Raw genomic sequence first — 23,368 nt, 5'->3', positions numbered from 1 at the left:
ATTGGAAAAGAGGTTTTTTTCTCTATTTATGACAATATAAATAGAATTGTAGTGACAGGATATATATCTAACATACTAAGGAGACAAATTATTTGAACTCTGTTTCAGCCTAATTCAAGTTTTGGTTATAATTAAATATAATAAACTATTTTGTAATTTTTATATATATATATTTTTTATTATACTTTAAGTTCTAGGGTACATGTGCCCAATGTGCAGGTTTGTTACCTATGTATACATGTGCCATGTTGGTGTGCTGCACCCTTTGACTTGTCATTTACATTAGGTATATCTCCTAATGCTATCCCTTCCCCCTGTAATTTATATTTTTTATTCAAAGTAGCTCCTTTCCCCAGTTAAACCAAATTGATGAATTTTTACTTTTATATGGGTTATTTACATTTATTTTGTGTGAAAATTATTTCAGGAGGATTAAAATGAGCATGAGACCACCTTTTTGTAGTTTGCAGTTTGTATACTGTATAATGCGAATTCCCTTGAATTTATCTTTCCTGTCCTCCAGGAGGACAGAGCTGCTCTTATTGGCAGCAAAGACTTTTTTTTTTTGGTCTAAAAAAGACTTTTTAACTAAAGCTATTATAATAGCATTCTGTTCAATTCCTGTTTACGTAGCATTCAGACGTAATCAGATGATTAGGTAAATTGATTATTTTAGTTAATTATTACCTACATTTTGGTGGTCAGATTTTTATAGTGTTATTATATAGTAAGTCAAACCTAACGGAAAGGCTGTACTGACTGGTTTAATTTTTAATAATTCTAAAACTCAGGTTATCATTATGGATATCAGTTGTTTAGTATTCTGTGAATAAAAAAAGTTATTTGAACTTTCTAGTTGTTTGGAATATAGGTAAGTGAAAGTTTATTATTATTTGTTGGCACCTCTCTGTAACTTATCTAAACGAAATACTAATTTGGTAAATAATATATTGGGAATCTAGCTTTTCTTTTAAAGATTTTTAAGTTTATTCATTTACTAAATATTTGAGAGAGAACTGTTGTTCAGTAATGTTTTCAACTAATTTATGCAAAAAGACTCTTCTTTTTTCTGTTCTAGTATTTCAGATAAACATTGTCTATGTGTTTAAATTGATTTGGTTTGATTTTAATTTCCATTTGATTTGGTTTACTTAAAACAAGTAACCAGTTTACCTGGCTATTTACAAACTTTTTCTATTTTTACTATTTATCATTTTGTTTCTCTTGTGAATTCTTTCTTTAAAGTCAAAGTTTAAGTTATAATTTTTTTTTTTGAGACAGAGTTTTGTCTTGTCACCCAGGCTGGAGTGCAGTGGCGCGATCCCGACTCACTGCAACCTCTGCCTCCTGGGTTCAGGCGATTCTCCTGCCTCAGCCTCCTGATTAGCTAGGATTACAGGCACCTGCCACCACACCAGGCTAATTTTTTTGTATTTTTAGTAGAGACTGGATTTCACCATGTTGACCAGGCTGGTCTCGAACTCCTGAACTCAGGCGATCCACCCGCCTCGGCTTCCCAAAGTGCTGGGATTACAGGTGTGAGCCACTGCACCAGGCCTATGAAACGTTTTTTGGCTATAAAACATGTCCTTTATGAGTTATTCAAATATAGAAAATTTGGTTTTTGTTTTTCTTTGGACATGTGTATTTAAATGATCACACAAAAGTGATTTTTGGGTTGGCTTCATAATTTAAGATGTCCTTTACATTTTCTCTTTCTTCTGAAGAGTGAATTGGATGTTCCTTTTAAAGTCAAGGCTGGCCAAATTGGTAAGTACTTTAGTCTTCATTTGAATTATTCTTGGTCCTATTGTTTTCTATTTTGCTTGTGTTATTTAACCTAAAAAAATCTTTGATTAAAAGTGTGAGAGATTTTTTTTTGCCTCATTAATTAGAGCTCGTAGAGTTCTGAACCTAATGTATATTATATATAAAACGTACATACTTCTTTTTTTTATGACAAAAGGTAGAAAATGGAAGGCTATTTGAACTGCAATTGCATTCTTCAGGCTTTGGTTCCACCACACAAAATATACCTTCATTTTCAGATTAGATTTCCAAGTTTTATGTGCTTTTTCTTTAAATGTGAAAGTAGTATAATTTGCAAACTCCAGTAGGTAAACTGTAAATGTAGCTTATTTCCTTCATGTTTTGTTCAACCATTTTCACTTGATATATTATGCAGCAATGTGGTATGGAGGATATGTTTTGGTAAGTACAAAGTCTCTCTGCAGTTAAACTCCTACACTAAGACCATCTATAAGTAAATATATATCTTTGTTGAATAAATTTTTTCAATAGGAAATTTAATCTACAAAGTCTTCCCATCTAGTCCATGCTATCTGGTTTTTATTTTTATTTATTTATTTAATTTATACATTTTTAAATTTTGGATTTAGGTGGTCCATGTGTATGCTTGTTACATGGATATATTGAGTAATGGTGGGGATTGCGTTTCCAGTGTATCTGTCACTCAGATATTGAACTTTGTATCCAATAGGTAATCTTTGAACCTCCACCCCCCTCCTTCAATCCCTACCCCTTTTTGGAGTCCCCAGTGTCTGTTATTTCCATTAAATTTTTTTATTTTTAATTTTTGTGGATACATAGTAGGTATATATATTTATGGGGTACATGAGATATTTTGATACAGGCATGCAGTGTGTAATAATCACATCGGGGTAAATGAGGTTTCTATCACCTCAAAGTATTTATCCTTTCTTTGTGTTACAAATAATGTAATTAATACTCTTAGTTATATGTAAATGTGCAATCAATTATTATTGAATGTAGTCACCCTGTTGTGCCATCAAATACTGGGTCTTATTCATTTTATCTAACTTTGTTTTTGTATTCATTAACCATTCTCCCCTGTTACCCTTCCTAGCTTCTGGTAACCATTGTTCTACTCTCTGTCTCCATGAGTTCAGTTGTTTTAATTTTAGTTCCCACAAGTAAGTGAGAACATGTGAAGCTTGTCTATTTGTGCCTGGCTTATTTCACTTAACATAATGACCCCCAGTTCCATCCATGTTGTTGCAAATGGCAGGATCTCATTCTTTTTTATGGCTGAATAGTACTCCATTGTGTATATTTACCACATTTTCTTTAACCATTCACCTGTTGATGGACACTTAGGTTGCTTCCAAATCTTGGCTATTGTGAATAGTGCTGCATTAAACATGAGAGTATAGGTATCTCTTCAATATACTGATTTCCTTTCTTTTGGGTATATACCTAGCAGTGGGATTGGGGGATCATATGGTAGTTCTATTTTTAGTTTTTTGAGGAACCCCCAAATTGTTCTCCATAGTGGCCATAATAATTTACATTCCCACCAATAGTGTACAAGGTCTTCCTTTTCTCCACATTCTTGCTAACATTTGTTATTGCCTATCTTTTGGATAAAAGCCATTTTTACTGAGGTGAGATGGTATATCATTGTAGTTTTGATTTGCATTTCTGTGATGATGTGATGTTGAGCACCTTTTCATATACCTGTTTGCCATTTGTATGTCTTCTTTTGAGAAATGTCTATTCAGATCTTTTGCTCATTTTTAAATCAGATTATTAGATTTTTTCCTATAGAGTTGTTTGAGTTCCTTATATATTCTGGTTGTTAATTCCTTATCTCTTACTTGTCCTGGCAATGTCTCTGTGGAGCTGTGTACTGTAAAGGCTATTATGCATATTTATGTCTATTTGTACCCATTGTTTAGCTCCTACTTGTAAGTGAGAACATACAATATTAGATTTTCCACCTTTGAGTTGATTTACTTAAGATAATGGCCTCTAGCTTCATCCATCTTGCTGTAGGGGACATGATTTCATTCTTTTTTATGGCTGCATACTATTGCATGGTATATATGTATCACATTTTCTTTATCCAGTCAACTGTTGATGGACACTTAGTTTGGTTGTGTGACTTTGCTATTGTGGTTAGTGCTGTGATAAACATATGAGTGCAGGTGTCTTTTTATATAATGACTTATTTTCTTTTAGGTACTCAGTAGTGGGATTGCTGTTTTTATTTTTAGTTCTTTGAGATATCTCCGTACTGTTTTCCATAGAGGTTAAACCAGTCTACATTTTCACCAACAGTACTCAAGTAGTCCCTCTCCTCTGTATCCATGCCAATATCTGTTATTTTTTGACTTTTTAATAATAGCCATTCTAGCTGGTGTAAGATGGTATCTCAGTGTGGTTTAAATTTGTATTTCTCTGATAATTAGTTATGTTGAACATTTTTTCATGTGTTTGTTGGCTTCTTGTATTTCTTATTCTGAGAAATGTTTGTTTATGTACTTTGCTGTTTTGAATGGGGTTGTTTTTTTCTTGTTCAGTTGTTTGAGTTCCTTGTAGATTCTGGATATTTGTCCTTTGCTGGAGGCATAATTTGCAAATATTTTCTACCTTTCTGTAGGTTGTCTGTTTACTGTGTTGATTATTTCTTTTGCTGTGCAGAAGATTTTTATTTTTACTTTTTAAAAATTAATTAATTAATTTAGAGACAAAGTCTTGCTCTGTTGCCCAGCCTGGAATGCAGTGGCACAGTCATGGCTTACTGCAGCCTCAACTTCCTGGGCTCAAGGGATCCTCCCACCTTTGCCTCCCAAGTTGCTGAAACGACGGGTGTGTCACCATGATTGGCTCATATTTGTATTTTTTGTAGAGATACAGTTTCATCATGTTGCCCATGCTGTTCTTGAACTCCTGGGCTCAAGTGATCTATCCGCCTCGGCCTCCCAAAATGCTGGGATTACAGGTGTGAGTCACCACGCTTGGCCTAGAAGCTTCTTAGTTAAGTCCTATTTGTTTAATTTGTTTTTCTTGCATTTGCTTTTAGGGTCTTTGTCATAAATTCTTTGCCTAGGCTGATGTCCAGATGAGTTTTTCCTCAGTTTTCATCTAGGAATTTTATAGTTTCAGGTTTTATGTTTAGGATTTACTTTAAAAAATAAGTAAATTACAAGCCAAGATGGCTTACTCCTATAATTTTACTTATGCTACATCCTTTCTCCCAACTTTATCACCCTGCTATTACGCTATATCACTTTTTTCTTTATTCAATATTCTGTATTATAGGAAGGCTTTGTCTTTCACTACTCTAGCATCTCTTAGCAATTATTTGGATACTTCCGTTTGGGTCATTTTATATGACATATATGTTTCCTTTTAACATACAAGAATATTTTTATGTTTTTGTCTCGAAACAGGATAAATTTTCTTAGATTGAAAGCATCTTTAGGCATGTGTCATCTTTTTTGTTTTTTAGATAGGGCTGAATGTGGTGGTTATGTGTAGCAGTGCTCTAGAAGTATTGTGGCCCTATATGCTTCACTGAAATCCTAGAATATAGAAGTTGTAGCCATTCATTTATTCTTTACTTTTGAAATATTTATGCACATGTTACGTACAAGACTATGCAAGTGCTATGGGAGATGCAAGGATGAAGGTGATATCTTTGTCTTCAAGGAAGTTATAGACATCTAAAATTGGAACATAGATTGAAATTGTATTTCCAGTGTCTTAGATCAATTATAGCTGACTAAAGAAATTTTGCATTATTTATTATATTCTTACAATATAATAAATTTATTATATTCTTACAATATAATAAATTTATTATATTATATTTATATATTTATTTAATATATATTATATTTATATATAACATATTATATATATTTATATATAATATATTATATACATTTATATATAATATATTATATACATTTATATATAATATATTATATATAAATGTATATAATATATAATATATTTATATATATATTATATAATATAATATATATAATATATTATATAATATAATATATATAAATATATTATATATATTTATATATAATATATTATATAATATATTTATATATTATATTTATTATATTTATATTTATATTATGCAATATAATAGATTTACATTATGGAGGAGATTTTCTAATGGTTCAGAATTTGTTCTTTTTGCTTTTAAAGTACACAAAGATTTAATGGCTTCCTTCACTGTTACCCATTGAGTTATGAGAGACCCTTTACAAATAAGTATGCAAAGTATATTGTCTTTATAACTATCTTTTTTTTTTGGTTTACAGAGCATTTATATTAGTTGTTAAATTTCTCCTTAGGTTAAAATATTATACCTAACCTGTAGGGTCAGTGTGGCTAATTAAGCTCAAGTGTGATTTGGTTTTCTAAGAGCTAGACATATTTGTGGGTGCCCTTGAGTTACCCGTTTTCTTAAAAATTTAAAAAATTTCCTGATCTATAAAAGGAGGGAGTAATATATAAAAAACTCAATTCTAGGACCTTTCTGAGAGATTGGGGGATAATTAGTATAAATGTAGAGAAGAAAAGGTTTAGGGAACAGACAGTCCCTTTCTGTATGCTAGTTAAAGGGACGTTTCCCACTTTTTCTGTCTTATGCTCACCAAGAAGGCAATCAAATAAATTTTGTTAGGAGATTTTGAGATAATTACAAATGTAACAGTACCTATTGTAAATATAAAATCACTGGACTTAGAAATGACCCAGAGCGTTGTAGACTTCCCGTGACATGCAAGCCATTTAAGAAATTCAGCAGGTTTACAAGCTGAAGAGAAGTGAAAATCTAAATGGAGAAATAATTTGATATTTTAACCTTGGGAATAGATACCAGGTAAAACTGGCTTTCCTACATATCCATCTAGGTGACCCCAAATATTCTGTCTTACATTGCATTATTTTATTTTCTCTTTAGTTTGTTATACTGTTTTTCAGTTCTTTGAACTTTGAGCATTTTCATTTAAAAATGATTTTAAATGAAAAACCACCAGTGATTCTGGTGGTGTAAGTGACTTTAATTATTCACATACAAGCATGACTTAGTTGAATCAAATTCTTTTCTCCTGAAAATCTTGATTAGTAGCTCTGAGAGACCTATAGATTTTAAATATAAGTTTAAAAATTATAGATGAAGGAAGGTATTTTATTTTGGAACATGTAAAACTTTATGTGTAGGAAAGGTTTGGATAGAATTGCTGTAGTAAGGCAGATTGGGGACATTTTGCTGCCTGGAGACCTGGAACGAGGGGATACTAGAGATTAGGGAAAGAAACATGGAAAGATTTTGACAGATTTTGCCTATTTCAAAATTTAGCTGAGAGCATGCCCTTTTGGTCTTCTCTTGTCTTCCCTGAACAGGCTTTTCCCCCATAAAACCCCAAAATTGGGACAGTAATATTAGGGCCATAGTTCATCTGTGTCATGAGTGAAAGTTTTTTGTGGGCTCACCTCAGGAGGACTTGACATTAATACCATTGTTTCCAAGAGAGAACATGTGTTCTGTCTTCTAAGTGATTTATAAGTAGATATTTGGAATATAACTGGTCTGAGTTGCCTGTGACTCATAATACTATTCATAATACCGTATGCCTTGCTTTTAGAGCTAGCCTCTTCCTGTTGTGACAATTTGGTATGCTGTCAAAATTCCATTTGCACAAAGTTCCTTTGCATCTCTTCTCTGTGTTGCTGCTTCAATTCCTGGTAGCTTGTGCAGATATTATTTTACTGTTGATCTATAAGGATTTATTTGTTGATGTGGATAGAAGAGCATGTGCAATATTAAGACTATCAACTGTTGTTGTGCACCGAATCTGGTCCAGCATCCTTACTAATAATCTGGTCACTGCTTAACTCACTAGATAGACTTAAGCAATTAATTTAACTTCACTAGGGCTGAGTTTCCTTTTTTTCAGGATTGAAATAATAGCTGACTTATTCATTTTACAGTTTTTGAATATTAAATGGATAATGATTATCAAAATATTTTATATTGAAAAATAAAAATTACAATGTGACTATTCACTTAATAGTAATTTTATGTGGAAAAGACCTTTGTAAACTTTAGTGTTGGATTTTTTTCATTTTTTCTGAGTGATGTACATACCATGAAGAGTTTTTTATGCTTTTTCGCTTAATGGAAAGTGAGAAATTTTTGTGTTCTTGAGCAGTCAAATAATAATTTAAGGTTGAAATTATGTTTCCTTAGATAAATTAACTTTGAAGATTCCTTGGAAGAACCTTTATGGAGAAGCAGTTGTTGCGACCCTGGAAGGATTATACCTGCTTGTTGTCCCTGGAGCAAGTATGTTATTTTAGGTTATAACCATTCAATAACATCACATTGAAATTAAATTGTTATCTGAGTTAAGTATTTTAATACATTTATTTATTAAGATAGAAGGTAATTTAAATAAATGAATCATACATAGATGCACTTATATGCATACTTTTATATATGTATGCACATATATCTTACCGCATTTGTGTATAAAGTATTGTTGTTGTTGAAAATTTAATTCATTTTTTCAATTTATTCTGTTTTCTAAGAGTACTTGTTTTGCAACTAAGGCTTCCTGTTGAGCTGCATTAGGCAGATTTACTGATAATAAATGAAGTGAAATAAATCTTTAAAAATATCCTGATGTGTTAATCTCCAGATTTCAAGATTGAAAAATTTATTTTTTTTCCTATTTTGTTGCTTCTGATTTTGAGTGAATGTTCTTTCAAAAATGTGTATAATTGGTAATTTTTTCCTTCGAAATGATAGTATTTTAATTTTTAATGTTTTAAAGTAGTGATGTTTAAGTAATATCTTTATTATTATTTTTTCACTTATAAGAACAATATAATGTTAAGAAAAGTTTGGATGTTTTAGGGAAAAATTACTTACAATTTCTTAACCATTGTACAAATAAAATTTTTATTTTTACATTTTGCTCTTCAGTCTTTAGTTTATGCATACCTGATTTTCAGTAGCTGTTACCACATTATATATACAACATTGACTTGGCCTTTTATTATATACATTTTTGATAGGTTTCACAGTTTTCACAGTGACAGTGACAGTTTTGAAAGGCTGTATGGTATTCTATTGTGGGCTACCTACTGTTTTTAGCTTTATAGTCAATACTATAAATACTAGTCAATACTATAGTCAGTACTATAAATACATCATTGTAATCAATACTATAAATATGTCATTATAGATCTTTTTTATTCTTTTGTGTTATTTCCTTAGATTGCATGATCAGAAATGACATTACTAGATAAAAAGGGCTTATATATTTTATGATTGTTGATATGTATTCCGAATTACTCTCTGAAAGTTTAAAAAATCAGTGTATATTGATCCCAGGTAGTATTGGATATTAAATTATTCCAGATTTACCACTGATAGAGCAGTATTCTGGTGTACTTGCTGTCTTCCTTCTGTTTCTACTTCTTATCTTTGTTCTCACCCTCCTCCTGTCTCCCTTTTTCCTACCTGCCTTTCTACCTGTAATTTCTTTTCTTCCCTCCTTCTTTTTGTATTTCAGTTTTTTGTAAGTGAATAGGAATAATTTATGTTTAAATGTTTCGTAAAACTAAAAATGTGAAAGTATTTTTGTATTGCAGAAGGATTATACACTTACACAATCCTAATGAGGCTGAACTTTTTCCGTTTGTTTATTTATTAATTCCATTTATTTTTGTGTGAATTGACTGTATATTTTTAGGTATTAAGTATGATGCTGTAAAAGAAGAAAAATCCTTGCAGGATGTTAAACAGAAAGAGCTATCCCGAATTGAAGAAGCCCTTCAAAAAGCAGCAGAAAAAGGTAAAAAGTTTTTTTGAGATAAACTTAGACATACCTATATTTTAGATATAATTAATATCCTTTAAAGAGGATGCTTTTGTAAGCCTTCATAAGTTGAAGTTCTAAAGACATAATTTTTTTTTAATCTCAAAATATTGCTTATATTTTCATGACTCACTTTTAGGAAAAAGTAATTGCCTTTTTTCTGTGAGTGTTTTATCATGTTGCCAATTTGATTTTTCCACTTTTCTTAATTAGTCATTTTTATTGTGCTAGTTTGGAAGACTTTCCAAATTTTCAGTATTTGCAGGCCTGTTTATTTTGGGCAAATGGTAAGTTTCTTTGTGTGCATGTTTACCCGTGTTCTTGCTGGATAATGAGGTTAAGCATAATGCTATAGTGAAATGATGTTTAGAGGAAATGCTGCTTTAATTCTAGTCCTAGCTATCTCCCTTCGTGTTGTACAGGATATTAAAAAAAAACCCAAAAACTTGATTCTTCAGGTTTTAGCATTTTAACATCCTGCCTTACGTTTACATTTTTGTTTTTATCTAAAAATAAATCTGATGACTTTGTTTGGTTTATAGAGCAAGAACAAGGATATGATGAAAAAGAGTAGTCTATAGAGTGATGAATTGAAGGACTTTTCCAGACATCTATTGTTTATCTCAATCAACAATTGCTGATTAGGGTATATGAGTTATTAGCATTTTATATAATTTTTGTGTCATTTGGTGGCATGTGTATATATTTTTATGATGAAGATAGTCTCTCTCAAAAGATAAAGCAAATATTGAGTTAGAAATGATGTTAATTATATTTAGATATAAGATTTCTTTTCCTAGCTTAAGATGTTGTCATTTAATTGAATCAATTAGAAATCTTTTTTAAATAGGTTGTTCCTTTAAATTTTTAATCAAAGTTTTAAATTCTTGCTTCAAGTATTTTTTCTTATGCAGAAATATTGATTCTTTTATTAAAAGTTACTAAACTATTTAAAAATACAGAGGTTACCATAGTGGAAGAAATTTTCTAGAAGCTTCAACATTTTTTCTCTTATTTTCACACTTGAGCATATTTTGTCTTCCTGCTGAAGCTTAAGTATCTGTATTTCTAGGGAAACAGTTTTCTTTATTTGTATAACTTTACCATGGCAAAAAAGCAAGCCAAGAATGGTTTTGTTTCATGACAATTGTGATTTTTTTCTTTATATTCAATTTTGGCTAATTAATATATGTAAAAGTAGTACCATAAAAATGAAGGCTAAGAATTGGAGAGCACTAGAATTTCACTTTTTCTTGAAACTATTCAGATTAGGATATTAACATATGTATATTCATCATTAGGTATATTGATGTATACTTAGATATATTGATATAGCATAATTACACATTTATCATTTACAATTACATAATAAGTTACATATATTATTTAGAAACAAATCTTAAGCTCCTCCTTTTTAAAAAATGGAGCATAATTATATTTGCCTAAAAATATGTTAGTGTTTTCAGTCACCTGTAAGAAAAGTCGTGGTATATAGTCTCATTTGTTTTCGTGATTGACAGTTTAATTGGTAATATGATTATTACACATTTCGTACTCAGACTTAGGAAATTTTGACTCCTGAGTCTTCAGTGCTGAGAAAACAGACATTTGGGTCTGACAAAGAGGCTATTATGAATGGTTTGATATAAAGGATGTACATCTGTAGTATTAATTTTGTGTAAATAGAACTGTTAGGCCTATGCTGTATATGGTAATGACATTGTAGCTTCTTGAATGATAAAATTTAAGTTTTTTTCATATAGAATTAAAATTCAAAAAGTGAAACTCTTTTAACACTCAGTTTTAACATGTTATATTTGTCAAAAAAGTTTTGAGACTAAAAGATGAATTCAGGAATTGGGAAGTATATTTAGATTATTTTTTTCTTAACTGTTAAGAAACACATTTAAGAATATTGCAGTATTCTTTTCTCATTTCTGTGGATATGAGTCACATCTTCAAATAATATTATTCATGTGAATGATAGAGGACAACCCTGACCTTTATATATTTCACATTTTACCATTATTAATAGTTATTGATTATACTTTATTTTTCTACTTGTTTATTGATATTAAAAGCACAAAAGCACCATTGCACATGTATAGGGACTCAGAGAGGGAAGGAGAGGAGATGATTCAACTCTAAGTAGCAGATGATAAAAATGAAAACAAAATTATCATGCTGGTCTGCTCATAAAAAGGATTTTGACTTAGCTTGTTTTATGTGGTAAAATTATATTGTTTCCCACTATCGTATAGGAATAAAATAAAATTGAAATAAAACTATGAGTTCATTTTTAGAAAGTTTGCTTAACTGTAAAAATAAACTCTTTGATGTTTTTCTCCTTTTATTTCATTGGAGTGAGTTTATTTTTCTGGAAGGCTATCATAAAGAGAAAGATTAAATTCCTAGTAAGGCCAAAAGATTCGCAAATGCTAGATTCTGTACTTAAGATGTTGGATTTTATCAAAGTAATATGTACACACACTTGAAAATCAATAGTTTTGCCAAAATGACATGATAAAAAATGGCAGTCCCTTGTTTCATCCTTTGCTACCCTCCAGACCAACTCCTTTGAGTTAGTAATATTTTTTAGCGATGTTAACATTCTGTCATTAATCTAGTTCATTAACATAAGGCATTATCTAGGACTTCCTGTTATGGTAGTCACGGAGTTTACTTCTCTTACTATCTCCTTGCACCCTGAATTCTCCTTCCCATTTTCTCATAATATGAATATATCATAATTTTTGGCCAATTACTAGTCACTACTTAGATTACTATGACAATGTGATTATTGTTCACTGCGCAGGTCACATGATGTGTGTGTTAGGCAGTTTTTGCATTGCTATAAAGGAATACCTGAGACTGGGTAATTTATGAAGAAAAGAGTTTTAATTGGCTCACAGTTCTGTAGGCTGTATAGGAAGCATGATGCCGGCACTTGCTCCTGGTGAGGGCCTCAGAAAGCTTTCAGTCACGGCAGAAGATGAATTGGAAGCAGGCCTGTCATCATTTATGAGGGACCCACCCCAATGATCCAGTCACTTCACATCAGGCCCCACCTCCAACACTGGGAATCACATTTGAACATGAGATTTGGAGGGGACCAATATCCAAATCATATCAATGTACTATGACTATATTTCCTTTCTTATACAACCTTTTGTTTTCCTTGAATTTGTAAATGCTGCTTTCTTATTTGCTTAGTCTTCTATGTAAATTTATCTTTAATTCTTTTTCACATGCTACATGAAATTTGTCTGCTATATGAGAAATGATAGTATTTTCCAATCGTGTAAACCCATCTGTTGGTACTCTGTACCACCCTGTTGTCTCTTGGAGATCCCCCTCTGAACTGATTGTTTTTTGGACCAGCTGCACAGGTGTCATCTTAGGACTGGTCTGAATTGCTCGTCTATGTTTAATTCCCTGTTTCCTGGGTCCTTTGCCTTTTTTGTTTCCTTAGTTTACTCATTTGTTTTCCTAGAACACATCTAGAAGCTTTTAAGAATGGATGCACCGGATATAATTTCGAAAATTCTTTTAAGGCTGAATGTCTTTGTGTTTTACTTCTACACTCGTTTGATTTGTCTGGGGATAGAATGCTAGGTTAAAAATTAGAATTTTGTAGGCAGCAATGTTTTCTAGCTTCCAGGCTCCTTTAAAAAAAAGTCTGATGCCAGTCTACACATTGTTGAAAGCAGAAAAATTAGAGAGTCCTTGGACCCTCCTGTCAAAGACCTTATATTTTAATTGGACAAATAAGAAATTTGCATAATAATAAGCAAGAGAAAGTGTTGAGTCCCATCAAAGAGGTACAGACAGTTTTATGGGAGTTCAGAATGAACATGTTATAGTCGGCCAAAGAGATCAGGGTAGACACTATGAAGGTGTATATTTCAACTGGATTTAAAGGATGGATCTGCAGAAAGGAGAGAAGGCATAGGTAGAGGAGACAGTGAAGGTGGGAAAGTATAGAGCATCTGTGGGATCAGCTAACAGTTTGGGAGTCTGATAGAGAGTAGTTGGATGTAGGGTTGGAAAGCTAAGTTTAGGTCAATTTTAAGAGATTTGCATGCTCTGATGATGTTAATGGTAATGACAGTGAAAGTAGTTGACATTTATTGAGGATTTACTATTCAGCAGTCACTCTTCAAAATACTTTATATGAATTAACCCATTAATAGTCACATTTGATATAGGTGCTATTTTTGTTGCCATCTTACAGCTGAGGAAAGTGAAAGTTAAATAATTTGTTCTAGGTCACACAGTTAGAAAATAGTAGAGCTAGAATTTGAATCCGGTCTGGCTCTAGATCTTGTAATCTTAACCCTGTACAATGTGAACTTTCATCCATAGCCAGCGGGGGTGTAAGTTTTCCTTTTTCTTTCTTTAAGAGTCCAAAGAATGACATGATCAGAGTTATGATTTAAGGAAAAACTTGCAGTGTTGTCTAGGATAGACTGGATTTGGAGAGCGAAGTAGAAGATGCTATGTAGCCATCATTAATGAGAATGGCTATAAAGGATTCAGATAGTGTATGTAAAGGGACCAGATCACACTAAAGTAAGATGAGGTCATTTCAGCCCACTCTAAAATTAGCGTCAAATATCACAGTAATATTATATTCTGAAAATGGACAAAATGGCATGCAAAAAGAGAACCAAAATAGTGGATTTTTGCACTGTTTGAAAACTTGTCAAAAATTTTAGTGAGCCGTTAGCCGAAATTGATATTTACCTGCCTCACATATTTTGAAATGATTATTATAATTTTAATTGTTAAGAAGTTTGTGTGTTGAAAGAACGAAAATGGTGTCACTGTGAATATTTCCTCAGAAATAAAATAGTTTTGGTGTCACCAAATTTTAATTACCCTGTTACATGATTTCTAATTATATGAAATTAAATTTAGGTATATTTTACATGTGAAATTAAAGGTGTCTTTAAATTGCTTTGCATTTTGGTTATTGCTGCCATGTGGGATGCAGGCACACATTCAGGGGAGTTCATATATGGCTTGGAGAACTTTGTTTACAAGGACATCAAGCCTGGTGGGTATGCATGGTTAATTATATTCAACTATATAAACATATTCTTGTGTATGCTTGTGCTTTTGGTGGAGTCCATTTGATGGCATGCCATCCTTTTAGAAAATATGGAAATGCAATTTTTGTTTTCCCCCTCTACCATCATTTCCTTTTCCTTACCTGTAGTCGTTTATTCATTTACTAAATATTTGAGTGTCTTGTGGCAATCACTGTGCTGGATGATGCTGGATGTTTGTGGGGTAAACAAACATGATTCACTGTTCTTACGAAGCTTAGAATATGAACTACAGATAACTTTCAGATTTGGGCTACTCTTTTGAGTTTAGTTCTAGAGTTCAGTAGTTTCTGAATTAAGCAGTTCCTCTCTGATAGCGGTGGTTTTGGAACGTAAAAAGCAATAAAGTGGAATTTTTCTTTGAATTCAGAACCGTGACAGGAGGTGTTCCTCTGAGCTTTGATTTGTTTCACCTCTGTTGTAGCTCTGGAGGTGCCTCTAGACTACTGTCCTGTACAGCATATTGAAATTTCAAGCTTCGCAAAAGGCAAATTAAAGTCTTACTGTTTATATTAGGATTTATGATATGATTCTTTTATATACTAGGAAATCTACCAAATATATTAAAATAATACTTTTTAGTATTTTACATAATCTTATTTGTTAAACTTTATGTTTTATATCATACTTCAAGAGCTTGTTAGATGAACTCAGTCACATTTAAATTTGTTTTGATTAAATGGCAAGTGGGTCTGTATCTTGAAATTTGTAAACAATAAGCATCATGTTAGAATTATTTCTGTAGCTAGGAACTTTAATAGGTTGATTCATGTGACAGATGGAAGTGGAATTTTCATGACAGGCTTTACAGCATTAGGTGAAATTACCCTGAAAGCAGTTTCCGTTCTAATAAACCTACTCCTTCCGTAAGTGTGCCTGTGTTGTCTTATAGTTACTTTGTTTAATATCAAAGATAGCATGGAGATACTCATGGCTCACTGTCTGGTTTTGTAGGTTATAATCAAACCAGCTTACTGTAGTCTGGGTAGCATTGTTAAAAACAGCAGACTATAACAGCTGTCACCGTAAAAGAAAACATCATTGATTCAGTTTTTTTTTAAAGGTATATTAACGTAGATAAAAAAATGAGGTCCAGAATGTTGGTGCTTCTGAAATGAGAGTAGTTTATTTTGTTGATGATATCTTCATTCAGCTGGCTAGGACTTAACGTGTGTTTCATGATCATTTCCTCTTTTCAGTTTCTGAGTGCATATTATTTCCTCATTTGATATTACTTTTTTTTATTCTAAAGCAGTGGTTCTCAAAAAGTCAAAATGATTTTCATAATAATACTAAGCATTATTTGATTTTTCCTTTTATTGACATTTACATTGCTGGTGCAAAAGCAATAGTGTGTAAAAATTGCTAGCTGCCTTAGCATGATTCAAGGCAGTGGCACCAGACTGTAGTAGTAGTCACTGTATTCTTCACTGCCATGCACTCACAGTAAGCAAAATGAAACAAAAAAATTGCCAGTTTTTACTTAAGAATTCCCTTGATGAAGTAGGAAGTTTTAAATTTTAATAAACTTCAACCCTTGAGCATGTCTCTTTAATATTTTGTGCAACAGCAGAGAAAGTATGCCTGAAGCATTTCTGCATACTGAAGTAGGATGGTTGTTTCAAGGAAAATTACTTGTGCAGATGTTTGAGTTGTGAGCTGAGCTAGTTGCTTTTTTTCTGGAAAGCCATTTTTAGTGGGAAGAATCACAGACTATCATTATTCAGATTTGGTTGTTTGGTAGACACTTCAACAAAACCACTTCAAGGAAAAGGAACTGGCAGTATTTGTTGTCAGTGATAAAATTTGAGCTCTTGAGTAGAATTTTGGAAAACTTGTATTTGCCAACTTGAGATCGACAGCTTCCCAGTAGTACTTTAAGACTTTTCTGATGAGATTGGTGGTAATATTAACAGATGTGACTTTTGATATTAAATAATGAAATGACTTGACATTTGGAAGATTTGCATAATTCAGTAAAGCAATATTTCCAATGGAAGATAAAAATCATACATGTGTAAAGGGGTTCATTTAAAGTGCAAGAAGGACTAATTGATTTTGATTTGTATGAAAAATTCATTGATAGGGTTTCAGATTCCATGATGCAGCTACCTTTAAGAAACTTCCACTTGTTGAGTTTGATATGAAAAGGCAATGAATATGCTCCCCCCTTTTCTAATTATATATCTATAGTGAGATCAGATTTTCATCATGTACTTCAATTAAAACAACATATCTCAACAGGTTGAAGGCAGAAGCAGATATGCTAATCCAACTGTCTTCTACTAAGTGAGACATTAAAGAGATTTGTAAGAATGTAAAACCATGCAACTTTTCTCACAACATTGTGTTTAAAAAATATAGCTATTTTTATAACTGTATGTTATTATGTAATGGCCTATTTTTAAATGAATGTCTTTTTTCAGTTTTTATTTATAATATGGTAAATATCAGTAGTTATAACCCACATAAATAAAAAGTTCTTTAGAGTCCTCAAGTTATAAATGCTAAATGGGTTGTGAAACCAAAGTCTTTGAGAACTGCTTTAGTTTGTGATTGAGAATCATAAATTTATTATTTATTGGATTAATTAGAAACTTTCTCTAAAGAGCTATATTAGCTCTAAGATTAGATTTAAACTGTTTAGAGAGGTTTAAACATGGTGTATCTGCCATTGAGATGAAAGACAGAACATGGTGCTAGAACAAATATGAAACCAGAAAGATAATTGGTCAGGTAAGAAGAGAATTTAACACGAGGCAGCTGAGTCTATGTCTTTGAAAGCTGTTCTAGCCAAGTGGAATGGTTTTCAGGGCTAGACTGGCTTTCTTACTTGTTTCTTTTCAAATGGTATTTCTTTGAGAACTCATTCTTTTTATGTATGTTTGATTTATGAATAGAACAGAGTCAGTGACTTTCACAGTGGCAAGAACTACTGGAATAGCACTATCCTGATTGTGTTACATTACTTATTAAATGTTTACTTCTTGAAACTGAGGGTTTTATTTTTGTAGTTGAGGATTTGTTTCTTAATTTTTGTAGTGGCAGAACAATTTGCTTTTAAAAATCAAGGAAGAACCAATTAAAAATTTCAAGCTCCATTTCACATATATTCTCTAAAATATATATAACATGAATTTAGTTGGATCTGAATTTTTTTTATTCATTTGAACAGATAAGTACTGTGTGCTTTGTGCCCAGGTGTAGGATTATCTCTGACCTAATGAAGTCTCCTGCCTGATGGCAAGACAATTGAGCAAACACTTCAAATATGGTATAATCACTGTTTAATGCAATTCTGTGTAAGGTACAGGCCCTGGGGCTACTTGGAGTAGTTTAAGAAGGCTTCACACAGGCAGTAGTGCTGGACCTGAGATTTAAAAGCTGCCTAGGAGTTCGCCTGGTGAAGAACTTCCGGGAGGGTGACGGAAGTTCACGGAATGACATGTGTAGAGGCATTAGGCATTAGAAAGTATGGCTTGTTTGGGAAAGTAGAAATATTATTTCTGTAGTATCCAGTGCAAGGATGCATGTTAGGAGATAGAACAGGACAGGGATGTAGGGTCACATCATAAAAGGACTTTATTGTGTAAACACATTTTAATTATGTCTGGAAGGTTGCAGAGAGCCTTTAAATAATTTTGAGCAAGAGATTAACAGGATGTGATTAGTATTTTAAAAGACATCAATCTGGTAACAGGGTAGAAGGACCTTTAGTAGGAGCTGAGGCTGGAGACTAGAGATCAGTAGATAATACAGAGACTGCCTCAAGAGTTCAGGGTGGAGGTGATGCCTGATAGGAATTTGAGTATGAAGATTTGTAAGTTGAGTAAGACAGGTATTGGTAAATGCCAGAATGCAGTGAGGCAGTGTTGAAAGAGAATGAGGTTTTAAAGGAATTCCTAATCGAATTCAGTGTACAGTCCAATGTACATGTTATGCCCACTTAATGTTCTTTATATCCTTGAGTCATTAAATAATTTGCTTGTGAAGTGTATCATCCAGAGGAAGTCATCTGTGGGCAACTTACCCTTTCATTTCATTTGTATGCCTATGTTCCTACCATATGTTTATCAAAACCTTCTTCTGAAAGTTTTATATTCTGTCATTGTTACATTTCCAATATTTTGGTAATATTGAAATTAAAGTGTAACTTTGTAAAGTCATTAATATTATAAATGGCATTGGGAATGGAGATTTTATCCAATTTTAGTATAATTACACCTGCCAATTTATTTTCTAGATTAAAGAAGGTTATTCTTTACAATAGAAGGTTATTCTAGACTAAAGAAGGTTTGTAAATTTGTCTTTATATTGAAGTAACAGGTCAGTTTAGAATAAGGTAAGGTGAGTTGTGCCAAAATTTGCTGTTAGGAAAAATTCTCTTGTTTTCTTTTCTGTCCTGTAGTCTGCTAACTTGAATCTTATCCTTTTCTCACTAAAATGCTTCCACTGTGAAGGACGTAAACGTAAAAAGCACAAAAAACATTTTAAGAAACCTTTTAAAGGTCTTGATCGTTCAAAAGGTAGGTAAAAGTAGTTTTATGCCATGGTGTTGTTTATACACATTGCCACTTTATTTCTGATTTGGAATGTGAAATGAATGTCAGATAACAGTATAAATTCAAAAACAAGTTTTAAGTTGGAAATGCATATTAAAATATAAATAAAGACACTATTGGCTGTAATTTCCATTGAGTAGTACCTTAGCTATCCTTTGGTTATTAATTTTGAGGTATATGAGAATTTCAACTCTTGAGCTTGTATTTTTCTATTTTTTAATAGATAAGCCAAAAGAAGCCAAAAAGGATACATTTGTGGAAAAATTGGCAACTCAAGTAATAAAAAATGTACAAGTAAAAATCACAGATATTCACATTAAATATGAAGATGATGTAAGTAATTTTTATTTACTCAGTTAATAATTAAATATGTATTTTATAATATTCTTGACTTTTCTATATGTGGATTATCTGTGCCCATTTTTAAATCCGAGATTAATTTTTTTCTTATGAGTACACTACCATATCCTCTTGTGTTAGCCTCGTTTTATTGGGCATTTATGTACATAAATATACTATAAAATTACCATGTGTTCCTTTCTGAAGCTGATATAAGAGGTTTTTGGATTGTCTTCTGTTATTTTTTTTGAATTTTATTTTACGTGTTAAGACATAATATTATAACTTTAAGGAACTAATTTTTGCTTTATGCTGACAAAAGAGTTAATTCTAAAAGGTGATGAATAACTAATGATAATGTTAATTGGCCAAAAAGTGACTAAAATCTGGTCACTTGACTGTAGTCTCATTCTCTTTACATACCACTGAGTTGGATTGAACACCCAAAATTATTCACACACATGTGCAACAGTAGTTGCACAGAAGAAACCAAACTTCACTCATAACCAAAAGAGTAACATCAGCTGATTAAGAACTGTTTAACTGGCTAATTTTAATTAACATACAACACATATTTTGAACAATATGCATTGCTTTGTTTAAAAGTTTGAAACATGTAAGAACTTGAATTTTTTCGTTTATCTAGGAACCTGGAAATGTTCATTGCTTCTAAAAATGAGTTTGCATTCTTTTTGTTTTTAATTTGAATTGAATTAAAGCAATACTGACATTTGTAGAATTTGTTTTTCTTTTCTTGGTAAGTTCCCTATGTAACTTGATAAGTCAGCAGGACACATTTGTAGATTGTCAAAAAATACCACCTCTGTCTTATACTGACTTGATTTATGGAGTCATTAAAATGAATTGTGTTAACAAATAAATGTCTTAAAAAAACCTCACTCATAAATGCCTTTGTTAATAACAAGCTTAAGAAAATAAAGTATACTCAACGCATCATGAAAGTGGAAGAATTATCATTAAAATCCTATGTCGAGAAAAGTGAACCTGGGTACAATGTTGGTGGGAATGTAAATTACTACAGCCATTTTGGAAAACAGTGTGGAGTTTCCTCAGAATCTAAAAATCAAATTACTGTATGATCTAGCAATCCCATTTCTAATTTGTAAAATTAAACTTTATCATACGTATGTATATATAGGAAAAAACCTAGTATATTTAGGGTTTGGTACTGTTTGTGTTTGCAGACATCCACTAGGGGGCTTGGAACATATCTCCAGAGGATAAGGGGGAACTGCTGTATATATCCAAAGGAATTGAAGTCAGTATGTCAAAGAGATGTCAGCATTCCCTTGTTCATTTCAGCACTATTCACTATAGAGAAGATTGCCCATCAGTGGATGAATGGGTAAATAAAATGTGTATATACATATTGGAATACTATTCAGCCTTTAAAATGAAGGAAATTCTTTCACTTGCAAAATTATGTATTAAGAAATGGGTGTAGAGAAAATATAATAATTTATCATAAAGATGCTCACTGGATAATAGCTGTGGTTTGTAGATAGTACATTAGCAACTGAGGGTTGTCTTTAATAAAACAAATGAGTTTCTTCGGAAAGAGCTGCAGGTTTATTTTGAGCTGGTTATCTCTAAGTATAAAAAGAGAGTGTGGGAATAAAGGAAAATATTTTGCCACAAATCATTGTATATCTGATGTTAATTAAAATGACTTATAAAGCTATTCGTACTTCTCAACTGTACCACATGGATTTTTTTCCATTTAGAAAATTGTATGTGACTAAACTCTGGAGTCCCAGTTGGATGATTTAGAACATTATCCATTTCCCTTCTCCTTATTTCCCTTAGTTTCTGCCATGACCAAACAATTCTATAAGACTTTTCTTTAAGATGTCTAAAATGGTGATACTGTGCACACTGTGGTATAGTTTAAGCACTGTGGATTGCAACTTAGATATTGAAGATCAGAAATACAACAAAAACTTAATGTTGACAGATTTTGGATATAGAGACTAAAGAAATTAAATATTAAGGATCTAGAGATTTTCCTAGAAGCATTTTGAAGTGTTAAGAACATTAAAGGCTTAAAGAGATAGTTCATATTTCCAAGTATGAAAGCCTTTTTTTTAAAATGTGTAAATTTAAGGAGTACAAGTGCAGTGTTGTTACATGATATACTGCATAGTGGTGAAGTCTGAACTTTTAGTGTCTCCATCACCCATAATATACATTGTACCCATTAATAAATTTCCTATCATTTACACCTACTTCTCACCCACCCTACCCTTTCAAGTCTCCAATGTGTATTATTCCACACACTGACCACGTGTATTCATTATTTAGCTGCCACTTATAAGTGAGAACGTGCAGTTTGTTTTTCTGCTTCTGGGTTGTTTCACTTAAGATAATGGCCTCCAGTTCCATCCATGTTGCTGCAAAAAAACCCAAACAAACATGTTTTCCTTTTTTATGGCTGAATAGTATTCCACTATGTACCCTAAGTGTTATTAAAATGATTTAGTGGCAGTGTTATCTGTAACACCTTTTAAAATTTATCTGTGAAAAAATCTTTGATTATACACATAAAAAGATTATTCCTTTTTAACTGTCTAGAGAGAAGTCTTGTTAGTCATAGTTAGTGAGTCATCTTCTAGTATGAAAAGAGTTCCACTGGGAAAGGATCTTATTGGTAGCATAGAAATGTTATGTCTACAAAATATGGATAATCCCAGCCATGTTATTACCTCCTTCCCCTGTGTTTTCCACAAATCCATTTGGGTTGTATGGCTTAACCTGTAAACACATTTCCCTCTGCTGCCTATTGTAAAGGACATGGATTCGCCTTCACCATCAGCATATTTTACTGTTATCTTTTCTTCTTTGGTAGGTCACTGATCCAAAGCGGCCTCTTTCATTTGGTGTCACACTGGGAGAGCTTAGTCTACTGGTAATGTTTGCTTTATTTTAAACTTCTATGGAACCTGTAAAGTATTATTCTGAAGTCACAGGGTAAATTGTCTAGAATCAACTATGCGACAAAGAACTATGATTTTTTAAATATATTATCATGCTAAACAACTTTTCTAGAAGTTTAACATTTTTAGTGATGCTATTATTACATTTTAAAATTATTTTTGTCTTTCTGTGTAACAGGTATCAAAATATCATTATCAAATGATTTGAAAGAAATAAAAGCTGTATCTTAAACATGTGGGGGAAGTAGGGGAAGATGAATTTCTGTAGAGTCATGTACTCATCTTCGGTATAGGTAGATGGAATTTCTAAATAGCTTATAGATATGCATATGTTTATGTATGTGTGTGTGTGTGCGCACACTCATCTCATTGGGCAATATGTAAATTAATTTATTTTGATTATTTTATAATGAGTTTTTCTTTTAATGGTCTTTAACAGTAGACAGTGTGTGTCTGTATATATATACACACATACATATATATATATGTATATATATATATAGGCTGGACATTTTTATTTCTATTACAGGCAACTAAGTGGTAGGAAACATGTTTTGGGGCATGTATGGAGAGGAAGATGTGGTTCACTTAGATACTTTTAAAGTTAAGGACAGTACAGGAATTGAATTCAGCTCTGCACCAAGCAGACCCAATAGACATCTACAGAACTGTCCACCCCAAATCAACAGAATATACATTCTTCTCAGCACCACACCTCACCTATT

At 32.1% G+C, this 23,368-nt stretch overlaps 1 protein-coding gene across 9 annotated transcripts in view; it reads left to right on the top strand.

Moving 5' to 3' along the window:
• The window catches only part of VPS13C (vacuolar protein sorting 13 homolog C), a 208,059-nt gene that overhangs the window by 17,354 nt on the left and 167,337 nt on the right, over window positions 1–23,368 (top strand). For 6 of the 9 annotated variants that reach the window (XR_007064464.1, NM_020821.3, NM_001018088.3 and 3 more), the window contains exons 3-9: window positions 1,728–1,770; window positions 8,042–8,137; window positions 9,552–9,653; window positions 14,674–14,736; window positions 19,249–19,314; window positions 19,574–19,683; window positions 22,556–22,615. Coding sequence is in view for 8 of the 9 variants with exons in the window: in NM_020821.3 (NP_065872.1) it covers window positions 1,728–1,770; window positions 8,042–8,137; window positions 9,552–9,653; window positions 14,674–14,736; window positions 19,249–19,314; window positions 19,574–19,683; window positions 22,556–22,615 (540 nt within the window). In the remaining variant the exon portion in view is untranslated. The remainder of the gene's footprint in view (window positions 1–1,727; window positions 1,771–8,041; window positions 8,138–9,551; window positions 9,654–14,673; window positions 14,737–19,248; window positions 19,315–19,573; window positions 19,684–22,555; window positions 22,616–23,368) is intronic. The other 3 variants (NM_017684.5, NM_018080.4, XM_047432742.1) reach the window with 1 other exon arrangement.

Source organism: Homo sapiens, chromosome 15, assembly GCF_000001405.40.
Source record: "Homo sapiens chromosome 15, GRCh38.p14 Primary Assembly".
NCBI classification, from domain to species: Eukaryota; Metazoa; Chordata; class Mammalia; order Primates; family Hominidae; genus Homo; species Homo sapiens.
Note: the sequence above shows the minus strand (reverse complement) of the source record. Positions and strands in the feature narration are given on the sequence as shown.